The sequence below is a fragment of the Homo sapiens genome, chromosome 11 (assembly GCF_000001405.40).
Source record: "Homo sapiens chromosome 11, GRCh38.p14 Primary Assembly".
NCBI classification, from domain to species: Eukaryota; Metazoa; Chordata; class Mammalia; order Primates; family Hominidae; genus Homo; species Homo sapiens.
Genome location: NC_000011.10, coordinates 5,373,713 through 5,393,788, shown reverse-complemented (window position 1 = coordinate 5,393,788; position 20,076 = coordinate 5,373,713). Strand labels below are relative to the sequence as shown.

General features: G+C 39.4%; 2 protein-coding genes across 3 annotated transcripts in view, besides 2 other annotated features; one reads left to right on the top strand and one right to left on the bottom strand.

Moving 5' to 3' along the window:
* The window catches only part of OR51B5 (olfactory receptor family 51 subfamily B member 5), a 165,335-nt gene that overhangs the window by 111,864 nt on the left and 33,395 nt on the right, over nucleotides 1-20,076 (top strand). The window lies entirely within an intron of this gene.
* Nucleotides 526-9,977, bottom strand: OR51M1 (olfactory receptor family 51 subfamily M member 1). The gene is made up of 3 exons (NM_001004756.3): nucleotides 9,872-9,977; nucleotides 8,331-8,436; nucleotides 526-4,405 (listed from the first exon to the last, which is right to left on the bottom strand). The coding sequence occupies exon 3, from the start codon at nucleotides 4,388-4,390 to the stop codon at nucleotides 3,410-3,412; it is 981 nt and encodes a 326-aa protein (NP_001004756.2). The 5' UTR covers nucleotides 4,391-4,405; nucleotides 8,331-8,436; nucleotides 9,872-9,977; the 3' UTR covers nucleotides 526-3,409.
* Nucleotides 12,769-13,249: a DNaseI hypersensitive site, noted in NCBI's record as "HS-111; the nucleotide coordinates are approximate for this feature". NCBI's record gives the evidence for it as "COORDINATES:sequence alignment evidence [ECO:0000200][PMID:19958188, PMID:17654503]" and "EXISTENCE:in vivo cleavage assay evidence [ECO:0001075][PMID:12861010]".
* Nucleotides 16,410-17,609: a DNaseI hypersensitive site, noted in NCBI's record as "HS-107; observed in MEL cells carrying human chromosome 11; the nucleotide coordinates are approximate for this feature". NCBI's record gives the evidence for it as "EXISTENCE:in vivo cleavage assay evidence [ECO:0001075][PMID:12861010]".

Below are 20,076 nucleotides of genomic sequence, written 5' to 3'. Positions count from 1 at the left end.
GAGCCTCAGTTTCCTAATTTTAAAACATTGAAAATAATAATACCTCCCTACTTCACAGGTTTGGTGAGAAAATTAAATGAAATAATGTAAAATAATGAAAATAAAAAGTACTCAGCCCTCTCTACCGTGAGTTAAATGCTTAATAAACATTAGCATTTATCATGATCATAATTATCATCTTCATTGTCATCTTCAGCATAATCGTATATAACTTTTTATAGTCATTGTAAAATGCTCTTTTTAGATTATAAAACCGAAATGTCTTCTTCAGAAAATTTGTATACGGCAAAGATAGAGAAATCTATATAGAAAATAAGATTATATATAACAGCTGTTTTTCTTTTGATACAAATATTTATAGCCTTTTACATAGTGATTGTTCTGTACCTAATTTTGCTTATTTTTATTTAATATTTTGCCAACAGTTTCCTAAGCATTTAAATGTCATTTTAATAATAGTGTATCAAATGAATATGCTTTGATTTATGTAATATTTTTATTCTAGACATTTTGTATGCTTACATTCTTAAAATTATGAACAATAACACAAATTATAATATTCACTTATTAAATAGTTCAACACATATTTATTGATCACTGACCTAGGAGATGGATTTAGAACTGTGAGCAAACAGGAAAAAAATTTTGCCACAAACAGCTTACATCCTAAATTTTTAATTTATCATTTATTTAGGACAGATTTTTAGAAGTGGCATTTCTGAGACACAGAGCATGAATATTTTCAAGTCTTTTGATGTATTTTGTTTTTTATAAAAGGCAAATTAAATTATGTTTTCATTCTGGTATGTGAAAATACCTCTTTTACCACATACTTAACAGCACAGATATTTATTTATTTTTCTTTTTTTTTGTTTTTGAGAAGGAGTCTTGCTCTGTTGCCCAGGCTGGAGTGCAGTGGCACGATCTCGGCTCACTGCAAGCTCCACCTCCTGGGTTCACGCCATTCTGCTGCCCCAGCCTCCTGAGTAGCTGGGACTACAGGTGCCCACCACCATGCCCGGCTAACTTTTTGTATTTTTAGTAGAGACTGGGTTCCACCGTGTTAGCCAGGATGGTCTCGATCTCCTGACCTCGTGATCCACCCGCCTCGGCCTCCCAGAGTGCTGGGATTACAGGCGTGAGCCACCGCGCCCAGCCAGATATTGATTGTTAACTCTATTCTTCAATATTCGTTTAGTAACAAATTAAGATATGTTAATTTGCATTTTAAATTTGAGTAAGGTAGAAGTTTTCAAATATGTTATTACCTGTACGTATTTCCTAATTTGAAAATGAAATTTAGATGTCAGTGGTCTATTTGTTAATAAGAGGCAAAATGGGACTTCAGTGCTAATCTAAATCCAAATCCTAAATTTTTTGTACCCCATTCTACCAAATGAGATCTATAGAATAGGAATTTCCTCTCAACATGGAGAAGAATATTCTAAGTCTCGGAACTGCTATTGAGTAATGTGGCCTACTATGTGGATGTAAATTAAAGTTTAGAATGGAACCTATGTTTAAGGAGTGCCAGCCTGTAAGGCTGCAGAAACTGCTGGGTTCCAGAGGGGCTCCCAAGCCTGAGAGTCTGATAACACCCACACATACAAACATGAGATACCACACAAACATACACAAGAAACCGCACAAACATACATACATATTTTTAGAGTTTGGTTCTTTTTTAAATTTCGCTTTGTAATTTTGTTTGTTTTCCTTTTTATTTTTGAATCGGGGTCTCACTTGGTCACCCAGGCAGTAGTGTGATTATGGCTCACTGCAGCCTCAACCTCCTGGGCTCAAGCATTCTTCCCACCTCAGCCTCCCAGGTAGCTGAGACTACAGACGTGCACCGCCACACATGGCTAATTTTAATTTTTTTTGTAGAGATAGGGTCTTGCTGTATTGTTCAGGCTGGTCTCAAACTCCTGGACTCAAGTAATCTTCTTGCCTGAAGTTGGTCTCAAACTCCTGGCCTTCAGCAATCCTCCCACCTTGGTCTCCCAAAGTGCTGGGATTATAGCATAAGCCACCGTGCCTGGCCTCATGGTAATTTTAACCTGTAGGAGAATGGGTGGGAGGATCCAGAGGGCCTGAGTAAAGTAGAACTGGGACAATGAAGATATACCACCTTGATGGATGCCAGCAGAAAGGTGTCTTCTTGGGCTTCTGAATGTGAAGAGGAGGAGTTCCTCGAGACAAGAAGAGAACTTCTGTTAGCTCTGGATCCCTCTTTATGTATCTATATGTCCACGCATACATTTAATATTTATTGAGTATATGGCATGTGCTAGGCATTGTATTTATATACATTTACTGGCGAGCAAGACATGCCTAATTCCTCCAGGGATCTTGATTTAGTCATTCTAATGGACACATGCACACACCTTCATAAACAGGACATTACTGTGTGACAAATGTTACAACGGGAAATGCAGGGCACTGTGGAAGGAAACCGATGGAGCATTTGGTGCTTTACCATTGGAAAGGGAGGAGCTATCTGTGAAAATGTCCTTGAGGAAGCAATTTCAAAGCTGAGACCCCTGCAAGGATTGCATTTAGTCACTCGTAGGGACAGGCTGATCAGCCAATGTAAAGTTTATTTCCTCCTGAGCAATGGGATTGTGACTTCAATATGTTTGTGTGAGTTTCCTTGGCTGAAGCTTTCTCACGTTACATGTCATTGTTCAATATCACACAACTAAAACACCTACAAGTAAATACTGACTGTAGCTTAATGTCAGACTTGAGGTTGTAAGGTAAAATCAGAGATGAGAGGAGTCAAGGATAGGATCAAAGTCTCTTCTTCTAGAGGAATATGGTCAGGAGAGAGCACAACCTTAGAAATTTGGGGGGGTGTTGCTTGAAACAGGTGTTGAGGAAGAATGCAGGAGTTCTGAGGTTTCTGATGTGACTTGGGGGTCTGAAAGTTACTGCTGACCAGGATAGAAAAAGATGAGAAGAAACTTGGCCAGGTAGATAAGATGGAAGCAGTCCCAAGGAACCATGGAAGGAGGTGTATTTCCGGAGGTGAGTTAGAGCAAATGGCATTTACCTGGTCTCTGCCAGGCTCTCCTCTGGGTGCTCTGGTATTTATTGTTCTTTTTAGTTTTTATTTAGTTTCATTTTAGTTTTAGTTACATTGATGATGACCTTCAATAAAGTTGCCTTCTGGATAGCTTTGATGCTACCAAAAATGCCAGTTCTCAGCTGTAGGAGGAGCCATTAAAATCTAAGCAAGAGAAGTTCAGTTTTTTAAAGCCACAACTCCAGACATAAATTTGCCCATATTTTATTTAGGACAGGGGCAAAAAATCTTTAAGAGCATGCTATATACTCAATACTCCAAATTTTCAGTCCAATTTGGGGCCTTCTTATAGGCCTCTAGGGGGAGTTTTAGCCCCAGGACTCATTTACTGGCCTTTTTAAGACCTAGGAACTTGATAATGGCACGGTGGATCTCCTTGGTCTTAATGCTGTATATGATTGGGTTAAGCATGGGAGGCACAAAAAGGTAGACATTGGCCATAAGAAGATGAATAGCAGGTGGGGCATGCTTCCCAAAACGGTGCACCAGGGACAGCCCCATCATGGGCACAAAGAATACTAGCACAGCACAGAGAGGAGCGGTGCATGTCTGAAAGGCACGGCGCTGCTCCTCTTGGGAGGCCAGGCCTGCTACTGTGTGCAGGATGAGTCCATAGGACAGTGCGATGAGCACCAGGTCCAGCATCACAGTGAAAACTACCACCATCAGTCCATACAGATTATTGAAGGTGATATCTGTGCAGGCCAGCTGTATCACTTCCTGGTGCAGGCAAAATGAGTGGGAGAGGACCACAGATCCACAGTAGGGAAAAGCCTTCAGGAGGAGGACAATAGGGATAGTGGCCACAGGTCCCCGGAAGATGACAATTAGGCCTGCTCTGACCACTTGCTGGCCAGTGATAATGACCGAATACCTCAGAGGGTGGCAGATGGCCACAAGGCGGTCAAAGGACATCATGAGGAGCACTGAGGACTCCATGAAGGAAAAAGAGTGGATGCAGAACATCTGGATTTGACACGCTCCAAAGTAGATACTATGGGAGTTAAACCAGAAGATCCCCATAGTGGTGGGCAACGTGGACACACACAGCCCCAGGTCAGTGAGGGCCAGCAAGGATAGTAGATAGTACATGGGTGTGTGCAGACGAGGGTTGGTCTTAATAATGATCAGAATGAAACAATTGCCTGAGATGGCAACCATGTACATAAAGAAAAAGGGGATGAAAATCCAGTGTTTGATGCCTTCCAATCCAGGAAAGCTGGTGAGATAGAATATGGGGCTAAACTGAGTAATGTTGGATAGCAGCATGAATTGAGGACTGAGCGAATATTGGACTGACATTCCTCGGGGATTGAGCTGAAAATAAATGGATATTTCTGGTTATTAATTCTTCAGCTTCACTAACATTCACAACATCACAAGCAGTACCATGGTCATCATCACCTTTAGTATTATCTACTCCACCCTTATGAATTCTGCCAATCTCACTACTTTATTGAACTTTCTTTGATAACCTCGCCCTCACCAGTTTTCCTCTGTATTTCAATTATTTCAGTTCCTCTCTGCCTCTTTGCTGGTGTGCCTTTATTGCTCAACCCTTAAGTATAGTTCTTCCCATCCTTGGCAATTTCCTGGCCATATTCTATTATTTCTTCTTAATGTCATCCACTACCATGATTTCATTTACCATCCATATATTGATAAATAACAAATATATAATTCCAGAACTTGTCTTTCTCTCTTTTGATTTCCAGACTCTAGCAACATCTGTACTTTTCATTATCTCAGTGGCTCAAGTCAAATGTCATGTTTTATGTTAGACTTCTCCATATCACATCTCTCCATAGTATCTAATCAACCAATCACCAAGTCCTAGGGTTTCTGTTTACTGAATACCTCAAGTCTGTTTACTCACCGTCACCTTCATTGATGCTATTCTAATTCAGATCACTCTTTCAGGACTATTCCAGTGACTCATCTTTTGTACTACTGTATTCAGTTGACTACTATATAGCAAGAGAGACGTATACATAAACAAGTTTTTAATGAAGTAAAAAAGGTTTAAAATGACATTCAAGACCCTACCTTATTTTCTCTCCGTGTATATCCTATTTTCTTATCTATCCTAATTTCCTCTGTATATTCACGGTGTTAATGACACTAAACAATTCTTCCAGTTTATCTAGTATGCTTGCTCATAGGTAAACATTTGTATTTTCATTCTTCCTGGAATAAAAACATTTTTTCCTGAAATAGCTTTCCCTTAATCTTTGTCTAGTTAACTTCTACTAATATAACCCACCTTAGCTTAGATATGATGTCCTTCAGAAGGCCTTCTTAAATTCCCCAAGTTTAGTTTGAATACCCTCTCCTATGTGTTCCTGTAGTTCACTATGCACTAATTACCATGATATTTTCCCTGCAGCATTGTCAATTTCTGTATTGCTTCTATAATGTGAATTCCTTGTGGACATAAACCATGACTGTCTCTTTTTTAATTTTAATATTAGCTCTAGGGATTGACTTTTTTAGCCACCATATCATTGGAATCCTTTAAATATTATTTGAATAAATTATTAAATATGTATCATTACCATTAATCTTATTTCAATAATTATTTCAATATTCAATTATTTCAATAATTATTCATTAATTGATTCAATAAATACATATTGAAATTGTATTACATGGCAGACATAATTCTATTAGGTTGGTGCAAAAGTAATTGTGGTTTTTACCATTACTTTCAATGGCAAGAACTGCAATTACTTTTACACCTAGGTACTGAAAATACAATGAACAGAAACAGAACAGAGACAAAAATAAACACATACATACATACTGCAATGCAAGGTAATGTAATGCAATAAAGAAGTAGGGAGCAAAGGAGGAAGGTAAGAGTGATGCATTTTATATAGGGTAGTCAGAGAAGACCTCTCTGAGTAGGTAATTTTAGAGAAGAAATCAAAATCAGAGGGCAAGTGTGTGGCTATCTTAGGGAAAAACATTCAAGGAAGGAGGAAGAACAAGTGAAAGTTCCTGAAGCAGAGAGCAGCTTGACAAGTTTAAAAGACAAAAGAAGGCCAATGTATATTCAATGGAGGAAGCAAGGTGGGGAATGGTGGCAAATCCACTTGAAGTAGCAGCTAAATGCTACGTCATGTATGATCTTGCAGGTCACGCAAGCTACTTTGAATTTTATTATACTTGTGAGCTTCGAGTTGAGAGCAGAGGTGCTGCATGGATATAAGGCTTACATCACTTTGGCAAGGGGTAAAAAATAGTCCACATTTATCTTTTCCATTTCTTTACTTCTCAGTTTACTACTCAACCAACCACCCTATAATGTTTTTTTTAAAACCCACTTAGCTAAAGCAATGCTCCTTAAATTCACCAGTGACTTCTAGGGGCCAAATGCAATGGAGAGTCTTAATCATACCTGCTTTTATTGATTTTTTTGTGCAATAGTTGTGTGCTCTGGCCATGCCTTCCTTTTTAGAGCTCTCTCTAGAAATTCTTAATGCCAAGATCTGCTGGTTCTCTTCTGATTTTTGTGATAGCTTCTATGCACTCTCTTATTTCCATTGCTCAAATATTTATGTTATTCAGTTTACTGTCCTTGAACACCTTAACTTCTCATTCATTATATTATCTATTATTATTATTACTTATACAGTGGTGGCTCTTAGACATTAATCTCTAGTCCAGATAACTCCGTTACATATCAGGCCTGAGTTTCTGCCTTCTCACTAGGTGTTTCCAAAAGGATACTGATGAAACTCAACACGTCTAATATTGAGCCCAGCATCCATCTTTTCACACCTGATTCTTCTCATATTTATGCATTTTTTATAATATTATTCACCATTTCCTGCCATTCAAGACAACATTTTTGAGCTGATGCTCTACTCAACCCTCTCCCTCTTTCTGTATCTAATTTTTAACTAAGTTCTTTTAATCTATCCCTGTAATCTATTCATCTTCATCTCTGTAGCCAATGTCCTTGTTCTTAGCTTTTCCACACCTGCTTGCCTGACCTGTCATTCAACATGCAAAGCCAGGCTCCTCCTTCCCTTGGTCCATCCTCTACTGCAGCCACCGAGATTATGCAGAAAGTACTAACTCTATGAATCACTGCACTGTTTTCAGTACTTCAGTAGCTCCTATCATTAGAATAAAGTTCAAACTTGTAAAAGATCTGTGGTGATAGTCCAATTTATTGAGGCCATACATGATTTAGATGCTGTGAAAAGCTTGACATAATCATGAATATTTCATGTAACTATGAAACATTTTATTACTACTTCACAAGGAGAAAACTACAAAAAGGTAAACAATCATCCCAAGGCCTGGTAGTGAGCGAAAATCAGGATAAGATATGAACCTTTGTCTCTCTATGCATGGCCCTGGTAGCCTCAAACACCCTGTAACACCATCTTTAGCCCGGTCCTTCTTGTTTTGGCACCTTTCCAAACCCATCTTTTCCCAGTCAACACACCCATATCATTTTTTTCTTCAATTCCCTACACATACTTTTCTTGTTTTTATTCTTCTATATTTATTGCTTTCTTGGCAAAAACCACCCCTGTTTTTCCAACCAGTAAACACTTGCGGATCCTTTAAGACTTAGTACAAATATCACTTCTTCTGTCAAATCTCTCCTGACTTCCTTCTGTAGCATTAGGTACATCTTTCTCTGTTCTCACGTAGTACCTGTAATGTACTATTAAGGTGTAAATACACACACACATTCTTTATATTTTTATATTTATATATACTTATTGATATATATATAGAACATACTTATACATCCATATAAGTACACATATGTATAAGTTTAAATAACATATAAGTGTATAGATTTACTCATAAATACTTTATAGAATATACATTTTAGTATATACATTATATATTCTTTATATACTTTATAGATTTTTTATATATAAGTATAGGGTATACATATATGTGTCTGTATATTTATATATGTAAACAAATATACAAAAATATTAGATATTTGTACACATATATATACTTTGTACAACATATATATTATAGGTAGTATTTATACGTATTCTTTATTATACATGTTTAGAACATAAATTTATATTGGCAAAAACTGCCATTAATTTTTCACCAACCTAATAATTCATTTTTTAAGTTGATTAGACTGGAATTCTCTAAAGGCCCCTGGAGCCTGACAGTGTCTAAGATGTGGTAGGTACCACTATATATATATTTTTTTGCATGAAAAACTAAATGGGTGAATAAATAAAGTACTCACCTCTTATCCTGATTCTTTGTGCCTGGGGTTCTGTTGTCAGCTCTGTGTTCACCAACTTCAGAGTGATGAGATGGACAGGGAGAAGGATCTGGTAGAAACAAGATGTCTATACAGAGACAATGACAGGGCTGGGATTATTTCTCTTGGAAAGTATACTTCCTCTTGGGAAGAAAGCTTTAGGGGATTTCTCCTAGCAAGAGAGATAATTATCCATGATAGGAGAGCAACAGTCATTTTTTCATGTCTACTAAGCAATGGAGGAGTCCACTCAGAGCAGTCAGTTACATCTAATTACAACATAATTAAAATATTCAAGGCAGAGTAGATTCATCTTAGATCACAGGAGAAAATTCCTGAAAAGAGATTTTCAGTATACAATGAGTAATTGGCTCTCTACCTCACCTGTGTCTAAATATTCTTTTGTTTGAATTTAATATTAGTTATTTTTTAATGAACTACATTGGTGGAGGATACTGTTTCTTGTAAATAGGAGAATATGCAAAAGACGCTGCACCTAAACACAAGGACTTGAACCAGATTATTCATTTTTGAACCCCTAGAGAACATTTCCACAGTGGTCAAACTCATCTGTAAACATGCCTGTTTTTAGTAGGATAGAGGAGGATTTTGGAAGGCGAAGGCCATATCCTGGATACTGGGGAAGTTACAAGGTGTTGTTTGGATTAAAATAAGCAGATTGAGGATGGGGTCTTTTCTATGTTAACTGGACCAGCATATAAAATGCATTTAATAATTTGTTGAATAAGTGAATGACTGTTTTTCTGATGAGAGTAAGGAGAGGGTGTGTATACCAGATGGCTCGGCAGGAAAGAGTATAGAGACCAGAGGGCTTCTGCCATCCTGACTTCTAGACATGATCCAGGGAGGGGCTGGCCTGGCCATGCAGGCACTCATCAGGGGAGTGAGGCAGCCCTGCCTCCTGGCCTTCCTAACAGAATACTGCAGATGAGCTCGCCTCTTTTCCAGCAAGAGAAGGTCCTGTTTTCTGTTCTTTCTCTGGCTCTGGTTCTGTGCATAGACTCTGAGAATATCAGAAGAGATTCTGTGAGAACCCTGGTTTCTAAGACTTCATTTTCCAAGTGAAAAATCTAAGGCCCAGACTGCTGTATATGGTGGTTCACACTTATAATCCTGGCAACTTGGAAGAATAAGGTGGGAGGATTGCTTGAATCCGGTTTGAGTTTACAGTGAGCTATGATTACACCACTGCACTGTAGCCTGGGTAACAGAGCTAGACCTCATTTCTAAAAACAACAAACAAAGAAACAACAACAAAAGAAAACAAAGAAAAAAAAATCCCATTAGGCTTAGTGCAGGGAATGTGGGGAATCCATTTGGCTAAGGACATTCAAACATTTGGGGGAAAAGCCTTAATTGTAACTGAGACCATGTCTTTTTGGGCTCACTGCTTTTGTGATACCTATGCATTCCCATTTTCCCTCATTTTCTCCCTCCTCTCTCCCATGTCCCCCTAATTACCCACTCCTGAAACCCCGGCACAAGACAGTAGTGAGACTCACCAGCAGGTAATAACAAAAATGTGAAGCCAATGAGTAGGTTCCAAAGGAAGAAAGAAGAGTATAGATAAGGATGACACAAGGGTCACTGAGAGGCACAAGGCTGTGGCTGTCACAGAAGGATTTATCCTCCTAAAGACCATGGCTCCAGCTGGGAGAACTTAATGGTAAACAAAGGGTCCCCAGGGCTGGGAATCCTATGGGCAGGAAACTTTCTTTATCTCCACCCCTGTCTCCTGAAGCTGAAGAGCCCTAACTTTTTAGCATTCAGTCCCCAGGTTTTGGCTACACAGACATCTGCTGCAACAAAAGTACTACTGCCTTATCTGTTTATTTTTAATTTCATAAAGAAGTCAATTCATATCACTTATCATTTTATTTACTGTCTTCTGTTATCCACTAGTAATGGACCCGTCGTTTTCCAGAGAGGTCGGATGTAGTATATGAAGAGGATTATCCATGTGATGTTCACAGTGGCTTTTAAATTGCACATCTGCCTTGAAGCACCACAATCACCACTACTTCAAGATTCTCTCACTCCTGCACTCATTTTCCTGTCTATTTTTATATTTCCATTTACTGCAGATAATTAAATTGCCCTCCATCTCTGCCAGCCTCTATATCTTTGGACCTAGAAGTCAATCTTGCATATTCAATCCTACCCCAAACAAATGTCCAGGTCAGTGTCTCAGGCTTTCCCAAAGCTCTCTACTTCATCTTTGAATGCACTGGACTTTCCTTCAATGAGCCCTACAACAAGTAGCCTTTACAAAACTTTTTTCCTTCTTTTCTGGTAGCAAATGCCATCAACATTTAGAAAAAAAAAAATAGTCTTGTACTTCTTCCCCAGACTATGCTACAGAACCTGAGTTAATGTGATCAGGTCATGTGTACATTTCTCTTTTCTTTCAAAACTCACACACAACCTCTCCACCACAAACACACACACACTCTTGGAGACTGGCATGAAGCAAGGTATTACATCCTTTAAATAGGGCATGGTTGATTAGAGTTGTGTGGGGATGAGCTCCAAAACGGGGCATACAGATCTAAAACCAGGACAGAGACCCATGAAGTTTATGACATGCCATTGTGATCAGACCACACCCAGACAGAAGTGGCACCACCTTACACCGGGTAAGTAACTGGTTGTTAGGGCCAGAGTGTAGGAGAGTCAGGGTGATAGGACAAGATGCAGAGAGCAGGATGTCTTATTAAATTGTAGTTATGAGGAAGGTTCTGGCTTCGGTACAATAGGAAGGAGCTGAGCATCTTCATTTAGGCTTGTAGGAGAGGGCACCACTACCAGAAAAATTTCAGAAAATCCTGCATTTATTAAGAACATGATTTTAGCCTATTTCACTGGGATCCTAGCCAAGGACAGTATAACAGCAACAATGCTGCTATTATTACCAGCAACAGCAAATATTGCTATTATTCAGGGGCATCTATCACACATAAGATAGGAAAACAACTATCTTAGCGCAATGTAAGAGATGGACATGGCAATTATATTAATATTTGTGGGTAGCACCTGGCCCACAGGTGAGGGCCAGGGAAGGCCCCAACCTGAGCTATGAAGACTAATTAAGAATCAACCACAGATAGGGCTTTATAGAAAGGTATTTCCAAAAAGGAGGGGTAGTGTAAGCAAGGGCATGGAGGTGAGGAAAAGTTGTTTATGTGTTTTGAGAACTATAAGATTTTCCGGTGATCAAATATAACATTTAAGAGAGTTAATACCTTGGAATAAAACAGTAGAGGTAGGCAGGGGCAAGACCCTGAATGAGTTTATATGACATGTCAAACATGGTACACATTTTGATGGTTGGGTTTAAAAAGGCAGGAGATAACAATCATATTTTCCAGAGTACATTGTTAACAATATGCAGGAAGGATTTAAAGTCTGCACTGGAAACAGATGTTATTTTGGTGTATGGAGCTGGATGCAGATATGTAATTGACAGCTTTTTACGTAGATAAACAATACTGTTTAGTGGATAACCTACCATTTAGAGATCTCTAATATTTGCTTACTTTTTTAAACTAACATCTGTATAATAGCTTTATATTCTATTTCTCTGAATTATATAATTGAAGGACCAGTTTCCAAGCAATAGATTTATTTGAAAACCAAATGAAAGAACTCAGCATTTTTGATTCTTTATTGCTCTAAATGACCTTTAGATTTGTTTTATCATATCACAAAATAGTCCTCTTTGAAGTGTGACTGAAATTACATTAAACATTCTCATCAATTTTCATTGACGTGCATTAAGTGCGTCCTGTGAGAAACTCTGATCAAGAACTTGAAGATAGACAGATTAACATGTCATGGTCTTGCCTTTATGAAGCTCACATTGAGTAAAGATGTTAGATTGTTCAACGAAGTTTCCAAAATAGGGTCACTAGCCCAGGCTAGGAAGGCAGAGGTAGTTTCTGAAGCCTGGAGGCCAAGAGGAGGATGATGGGGACAATGAAGGAGCAAGTCCTCGGACCTATCTCTATCACTGTGGGTAATCATGCGAATATTAGGTGAAGTGAATGTGGGTGCATGATGGTTGGGGAAGGTGAAGTATCAACACATTAGTGTGAGGCATTCAGGCCTTAACCTTTAAGGTATTAGAATTCATTATTAAAGAATCTAAATCCATTACTAAAAGTGAAAAGTGTCACTGTAACAGTGTACCTATTTGTTAATGTGCAAATGGTTTTCATTGCATGTAATATTGTTTGTGTGTGTGTGAGAGAGAGAGAGAGAAACAGCGAGCGAGCGACAGAGAGAGAGAGGTGGGGTGGGGGTATGGTGGGGTGGAAAGCCTGGCTTTCAAGGGGCCAGTATAAGTTTTATTTAAGGAACCTCTATCCAGAATTGATACCTAGCCAGCCCACTGAGCCAGGCTTGGTGAAGTAGGAGATTCCTTCAGGAGAACTGAATCCCCAAGGTCTGTACACATGCTGTGGTTTTCCAATGTAGCCACCAGGGGGAGCATTCAGCCCAAGGATAGGCTTAAATTCTGACCAGCACCAAGGCCCTACTATCCCCAGGGCACAAGAAAATGTGGCTTTTCTTCCAGCACCACCTTCCCGTGTCCTCAATACCCACTACACAGCTGAAAGCTGCCAACCAGTTCATTCTTCCTTTGAGGATGATCTTCCTCTCTCTCATGCACAAAATAGACATATCTACATCTTACAAACACATAAAAACTAAAATTGATGGAGAGAGATAGGTTTTCTTAGCTTTTTCAGATTTTTACAGATGGTAATCTCACACAAATCTATGTGTGTGGCCTTTAGTCTTAATCATATTGACCAAGCCTTAAATCCCCACTCTGACCAGAAACAGACCTAAATAAAATCCTTACTCACAGGGTTCTCAATGTCTCCAGACTCACAACAGACTCTTTTTAGGTGTCTCTGTCACAGAAAATGGCCACAAGGTCACCTCACTCTCAGGCCTGTTAGAACAAGTCCTTCCCAGAAGAACTCCATTTTGTGGTGTGAGATCGATGCGGGTCTTTCAGACTGGAGAGACCCACAGAAGTTAGGATTGCCAAAAGGGTCTTCTGGACTGGTCCACAGCCCCTAAGAAATTTTCATGTTGCAATTCATTTTGTCCATCCCCCTGCCTCCCTGGACACCTGCATCTGTGTGTGCACAGAGAGTCTGGAAGGTTTACAGAGAAGTCTCCACATCTTCCCACAGCAACTCTTTCAGAAACGCCTTCTTTCGTAACATCCTACCTCTCTTCAGTCATTATGAAAGGGAACCGATTTTCATTTTCATTGTGAAAACTTTTCAGAGAGACCCCTTTTGGGAAACCATCTCTTCTCCCCACTCCAAGTTGGGCTAAAGTTTTAGTGTATTTTGCATATTTTGATTTGCTATAACAGAGTACCTGAGTCTGGGTAGCTTATTTTTTTTTTTTAAAGTTTTGTTTGGTTCATGATTCTGGTGACTTAAAAGTCCAAGATCGGGCGGTTGCATCTGATAAAGGTCTCATGCTGGTTCCAAACATGGCAGAAAGCAGACAAAGAGCAAGTGCATGCAAGGAGATCACATGATGAGAGAGGACGCCAGGGAGAGAAACCCAGAAAGCCAGACTCATGGGAAAGTATCAAGCTGTCCACCATATGTGAAATTAGAATTCTAAAAGGAAACAAAAAATGGATTAAACGTTTTTTGAGGAATTATTGACTGAATGTTTCAACATCTGGACATAAAATCTATTAATTCATATCTTTAGCTAACCTTGAGCAATGTCAATTAAAAAATAAAACACAACTAAATGCATATCTTACAAATGGCATAAACAACAAATGTATGCCAATCTTAAAAGCAGACATAGAAAAAGACACATTGCATACAAGAAAATTATTAGAGGAAACAACGGAAACCTGAAAAAATAAACTGGAACTTTATTTTTTATTTTTTTATTTATTTTATTTATTATTATTATTATACTTTAAGATTTAGGGTACATGTGCATAATGTGCCGGTTAGTTACATATGTATACATGTGCCATGTTGGTGTGCTGCACCCATTAACTCGTAATTTAGCATTAGGTATATCTCCTAATGCCATCCCTCCCTGCACCCCCACCCCACAACAGTCCCCAGAGTGTGATGTTCCCCTTCCTGTGTCCATGTGTTCTCATTGTTCAGTTCCCATCTATGAGTGAGAATATGTGGTGTTTGGTTTTTTGTCCTTGCGATAGTTTACTGAGAATGATGATTTCCAATTTCATCCATGTCCCTACAAAGGACATGAACTCATCATTTTTATGGCTGCATAGTATTCCATGGTGTATATGTGCCACATTTTCTTAATCCAGTCTATCATTGTTGGACATTTGGGTTGGTTCCAAGTCTTTGCTATTGTGAATAGTACCGCAATAAACATACGTGTGCATGTGTCTTTATAGCAGCATGATTTATATTCCTTTGGGTATATACCCAGTAATGGGATGGCTGGGTCAAATGGTATTTCTAGTTCTAGATCCCTGAGGAATCGCCACACTGACTTCCACAATGGTTGAACTAGTTTACAGTCCCACCAAGAGTGTAAAAGTGTTCCTATTTCTCCACATCCTCTCCAGCACCTGTTGTTTCCTGACTTTTTAATGATTGCCATTCTAACTGGTATGAGATGGTATCTCATTGTGGTTTTGATTTGCATTTCTCTGATGGCCAGTGATGATGAGCATTTTTTCATGTGTCTTTTGGTTGCATAAATGTTTTCTTTTGAGAAGTGTCTGTTCATATCCTTTGCCCACTTGTTGATGGGGCTGTTTGTTTTTTTCTTGTAAATTTGTTTGAGTTCATTATAGATTCTGGATATTAGCCCTTTGTCAGATGAGTAGGTTGTGAAAATTTTCTCCCATTGTGTAGGTTGCCTGTTCACTCTGATGGTAGTTTCTTTAGCTGTGCAGAAGCTCTTTAGTTTCATTAGATCCCATTAGTGAATTTTGGCTTTTGTTGCCATCGCTTTTGGTGTTTTAGACATGAAGTCCTTGCCCATGCCTATGTCCTGAATGGTAATGCCTGCGTTTTCTTCTAGGGTTTTTATGGTTTTAGGTCTAATGTTTAAGTCTTTAATCCATCTTGAATTAATTTTTGTATAAGGTGTAAGGAAGGGATCCAGTTTCAGCATTCTACATATGGCTAGCCAGTTCTCCCAGCACCATTTATTAAATAGGGAATCCTTTCCCCATTTCTTGTTTTTCTCAGGTTTTTCAAAGATCAGATAGTTGTAGATATGCGTCGTTATTTCTGAGGGCTCTGTTCTGTTCCATTGATCTATATCTGTGTTTTGGTACCAGTAACATGCTGTTTTGGTTACTGTAGCCTTGTAGTATAGTTTGAAGTGAGGTAGCCTGATGCCTCCAGCTTTGTTCTTTTGGCTTAGGATTGACTTGGCAATGCAGGCTCTTTTTTGGTTCCATATGAACTTTAAAGTCGTTTTTCCAATTCTGTGAAGAAAATCATTGGTAGCTTGATGGGGATGGCATTGAATCTATAAATTACCTTGGGCATTATGGCCATTTTGATGATATTGATTCTTCCTACCCATAAGCATGGAATGTTCTTCCATTTGTTTGTATCTTCTTTTATTTCATTGAGCAGTGGTTTGTAGTTCTCCTTGAAGAGGTCCTTCACATCCCTTGTAAGTTGGATTCCTAGGTATTTTATTCTCTTTGAAGCAATTGTGAATGGGAGTTCCCTCATGATTTGGCTCTCTGTTTGTCTGTTATTGGTGTATAAGAATGCTTGTGATTTTTGCACATTGGTTTTGTATCCTGAGGCTTTGCTGAAGTTGCTTATCAGCTTAAGGAGATTTTGGGCTGAGACAAGGGGGTTTTCTAGATATACAATCATGTCGTCTGCAAACAGGGACAATTTGACTTCCTCTTTTCTTAATTGAATACCCTTTTTTCCTGTCTTCTGCCTAATTGCCCTGGCCAGAACTTCCAACACTATGTTGAATAGGAGTAGTGAGAGAGGGCATCCCTGTCTTGTGCCAGTTTACAAAGGGAATGCTTCCAGTTTTTGCCCATTCAGTATGATATTGGCTGTGGGTTTGTCATAGATAGCTCTTATTATTTTGAGATATGTCCCATCAATACCTAATTTATTGAAAGTTTTTAGCATGAAGGGTTGTTGAATTTTGTCAAAGGCCTTTTCTGCATCTATTGAGATAATCATGTGGTTTTTGTCTTTGGTTCTGTTTATATGCTGGATTACATTTATTGATTTGCATATATTGAACCAGCCTTGCATCCCAGGGATGAAGTCCACTTGATCATCGTGGATAAGCTTTTTGATGTGCTGCTGGATTCGGTTTGCCAGTATTTTATTGAGGATTTTTGCATCGATGTTCATCAGGGATATTCATCTAAAATTCTCTTTTTTGGTTGTGTCTCTTTCTGGCTTTGGTATTAGGATGATGCTGGCCTCATAAAATGAGTTAGGGAGGATTCCTTCTTTTTCTGTTGATTGGAATAGTTTCAGAAGGAATGGTACCAATTCCTCCTTGTACCTCTGTTAGAATTTGGCTGTGAATCCATCTGGTCCTGGACTCTTTTTGGTTGGTAAGCTATTGATTATTGCCACAATTTCAGATCCTGTTATTGGTCTATTCAGAGATTCAACTTCTTCCTGGTTTAGTCTTGGGATAGTGTATGTGTCCAGGAATTTATCCATTTCTTCTAGATTTTCTAGTTTATTTGCGTAGAGGTGTTTGTAGTATTCTCTGATGGCAGTTTGTATTTCTGTGGGATCGGTGGTGATATCCCCTTTATCATTTTTTTATTGTGTCTATTTGATTCTTCTCTCTTTTCTTATTAGTCTTGCTAGCGGTCTATCAGTTTTGTTGATCCTTTCAAAAAACCAGCTCCCAGATTCATTAATTTTTTGAAGGGTTTTTTGTGTCTCTGTTTCCTTCAGTTCTGCTCTGATTTTAGTTATTTCTTGACTTCTGCTAGCTTTTGAATGTGTTTGCTCTTGCTTATCTAGTTCTTTTAATTGTGATGTTAGGGTGTCAATTTTGGATCTTTCTTGCTTTCTCTTGTGGGCGTTTAGTGCTATAAATTTCCCCCTACACACTGATTCGAATGTGTCCCAGAGATTCTGGTATGTTGTGTCTTTGTTCTCATTGGTTTCAAAGAACATCTTTATTTCTGCCTTCATTTCGTTATGTACCCAGTAGTCATTCAGGAGCAGGTTGTTCAGTTTCCATGTAGTTGAGTGGTTTTGAGTGAGTTTCTTAATCCTGAGTTCTAGTTTGATTGCACTGTGGTCTGAGAGACAGTTTGTTATAATTTCTGTTCTTTTATATTTGCTGAGGAGAGCTTTACTTCCAAGTATGTGGTCAATTTTGGAATAGGTGTTGTGTGGTGCTGAAAAAAAATGTATATTCTGTTGATTTGGGGTGGAGAGTTCTGTAGATGTCTATTAGGTCTGCTTGGTGCAGAGCTGTGTTCAATTCCTGGATATCCTTGTTAACTTTCTGTCTCGTTGATCTGTCTAATGTTGACAGTGGGGTATTAAAGTCTCCCATTATTAAAGTGTGGGAGTCTAAGTCTCTTTGTAGGTCTCTAAGGACTTGCTTTATGAATCTGGGTGCTCCTGTATTGGGTGCATATATATTTAGGATAGTTAGCTCTTCTTGTTGAATTGATCCCTTTACCATTATGTAATGGCCTTCTTTGTCTCTTTTGATCTTTGTTGGTTTAAAGCCTGTTTTATCAGAGACTAGGATTGCAACCCCTGCCTTTTTTTGTTTTCCATTTGCTTGGTAGATCTTCCTCCATCCTTTTATTTTGAGCCTATGTGTGTGTGTGCACATGAGATGGGTTTCCTGAATACACTCTTTATCCAATTTGCCAGTCTGTGTCTTTCAATTGGAGCACTTAGTCCATTTACATTTAAAGTTAATATTGTATGTGTGAATTTGATCCTGTCATTATGATAGCTGGTTATTTTGCTCGTTAGTTGATGCAGTTTCTTCCTAGTCTTGATGGTCTTCACATTTTGGCCTGATTTTGCAGTGGCTGGTACCGGTTGTGCCTTTCCATGTTTAGTGCTTCCTTCAGGAGCTCTTTTAGGTCAGGCCTGGTGATGACAAAATCTCTCAGCATTTGCTTGTCTGTAAAGTATTTTATTTCTCCTTCACTTATGAAGCTTAGTTTGGCTGGATATTAAATTCTGTGTTGAAAATTCTTTCCTTTAAGGATGTTGAATATTGGCCCCCACTCTCTTCTGGCTTGTAGAGTTTCTGCCAAGAGAGCTGCTGTTAGTCTGATGGGCTTCCCTTTGTGGGTAACCCGACCTTTCTCTCTGGCTGCCCTTAACATTTTTTCCTTCATTTCAACTTTGGTGAATCTGACAATTATGTGTCTTGGAGTTGCTCTTCTCGAGGAGTATGTTTGTGGCGTTCTCTGTATTTCCTGAATCTGAATGTTGGCCTGCCTTGCTAGATTGGGGAAGTTCTCCTGGATAATATCCTGCAGAGTGTTTTCCAACTTGGTTCGATTCTCCCCGTCACTTTCAGGTACACCAATCAGACCTAGATTTGATCTTTTCACATAGTCCCATATTTCTTGGAGGCTTTGTTCATTTCTTTTTATTCTTTTTTCTCTAAACTTCCCTTCTCGCTTCATTTCATTTATTTCATCTTCCATCACTGATACCCTTTCTTCCAGTTGATCGCATCAGCTCCTGAGGCTTCTCCATTCTTCACGTCATTCTCGAGCCTTGGCTTTCAGCTCCATCAGCTCCTTTAAGCACTTCTCTGTATTGGTTATTCTAGTTATACATTCATCTAAATTTTTTTTCAAAGTTTTTATCTTCTTTGCCTTTGGTTTGAATTTCCTCCTGTAGCTCGGAGTAGTTTCATCGTCTGAAGTCTTCTTCTCTCAGCTCGTCAAAGTCATTCTCCATCCAGCTTTGTTCCGTTGCTGGTGAGGAACTGCTTTCCTTTGGAGGAGGAAAGGTGCTCTGCTTTTTAGAGTTTCCAGTTTTTCTGCTCTGTTTTTTCCCCAACTTTGTGGTTGTATCTACTTTTGGTCTTTGATGATAGTGATGTACCGATGGGTTTTTGGTGTGGATGTCCTTTCTGTTTGTTAGTTTTCCTTCTAACAGACAGGACCCTCAGCTGCAGGTCTGTTGGAGTTTGCTAGAGGTCCACTCCAGACCCTGTTTGCCTGGGTATCAGCAGCGGTGTCTGCAGAACCGCAGATTTTCGTGATCCGCGAATGCTGCTGTCTGATCGTTCCTCTGGAAGTTTTGTCTCAGAGGAGTACCTGGCCGTGTGAGGTGTCAGTCTGCCCTTACTTGGGGGTGCCTCCCAGTTAGGCTGCTCGGGGGTCAGGGGTCAGGGACCCACTTGAGGAGGCAGTCTGCCCGTTCTCAGATCTCCAGCTGTGTGCTGGGAGAACCACTGCTCTCCTCAAAGCTGTCAGACAGGGACATTTAAGTCTGCAGAGGTTACTGCTGTCTTTTTGTTTGTCTGTGCCCTGCCCCCAAAGGTGGAGCCTACAGAGGCAGGCAGGCCTCCTTGAGCTGTGGTGGGGTCCACCCAGTTTGAGCTTCCTGGCTGCTTTGTTTACCTAAGCAAGCCTGGGCAATGGCGGCTGCCCCTCCCCCAGCCTCGCTGCCACCTTGCAGTTTGATCTCAGACTGCTGTGCTAGCAATCAGGGAGACT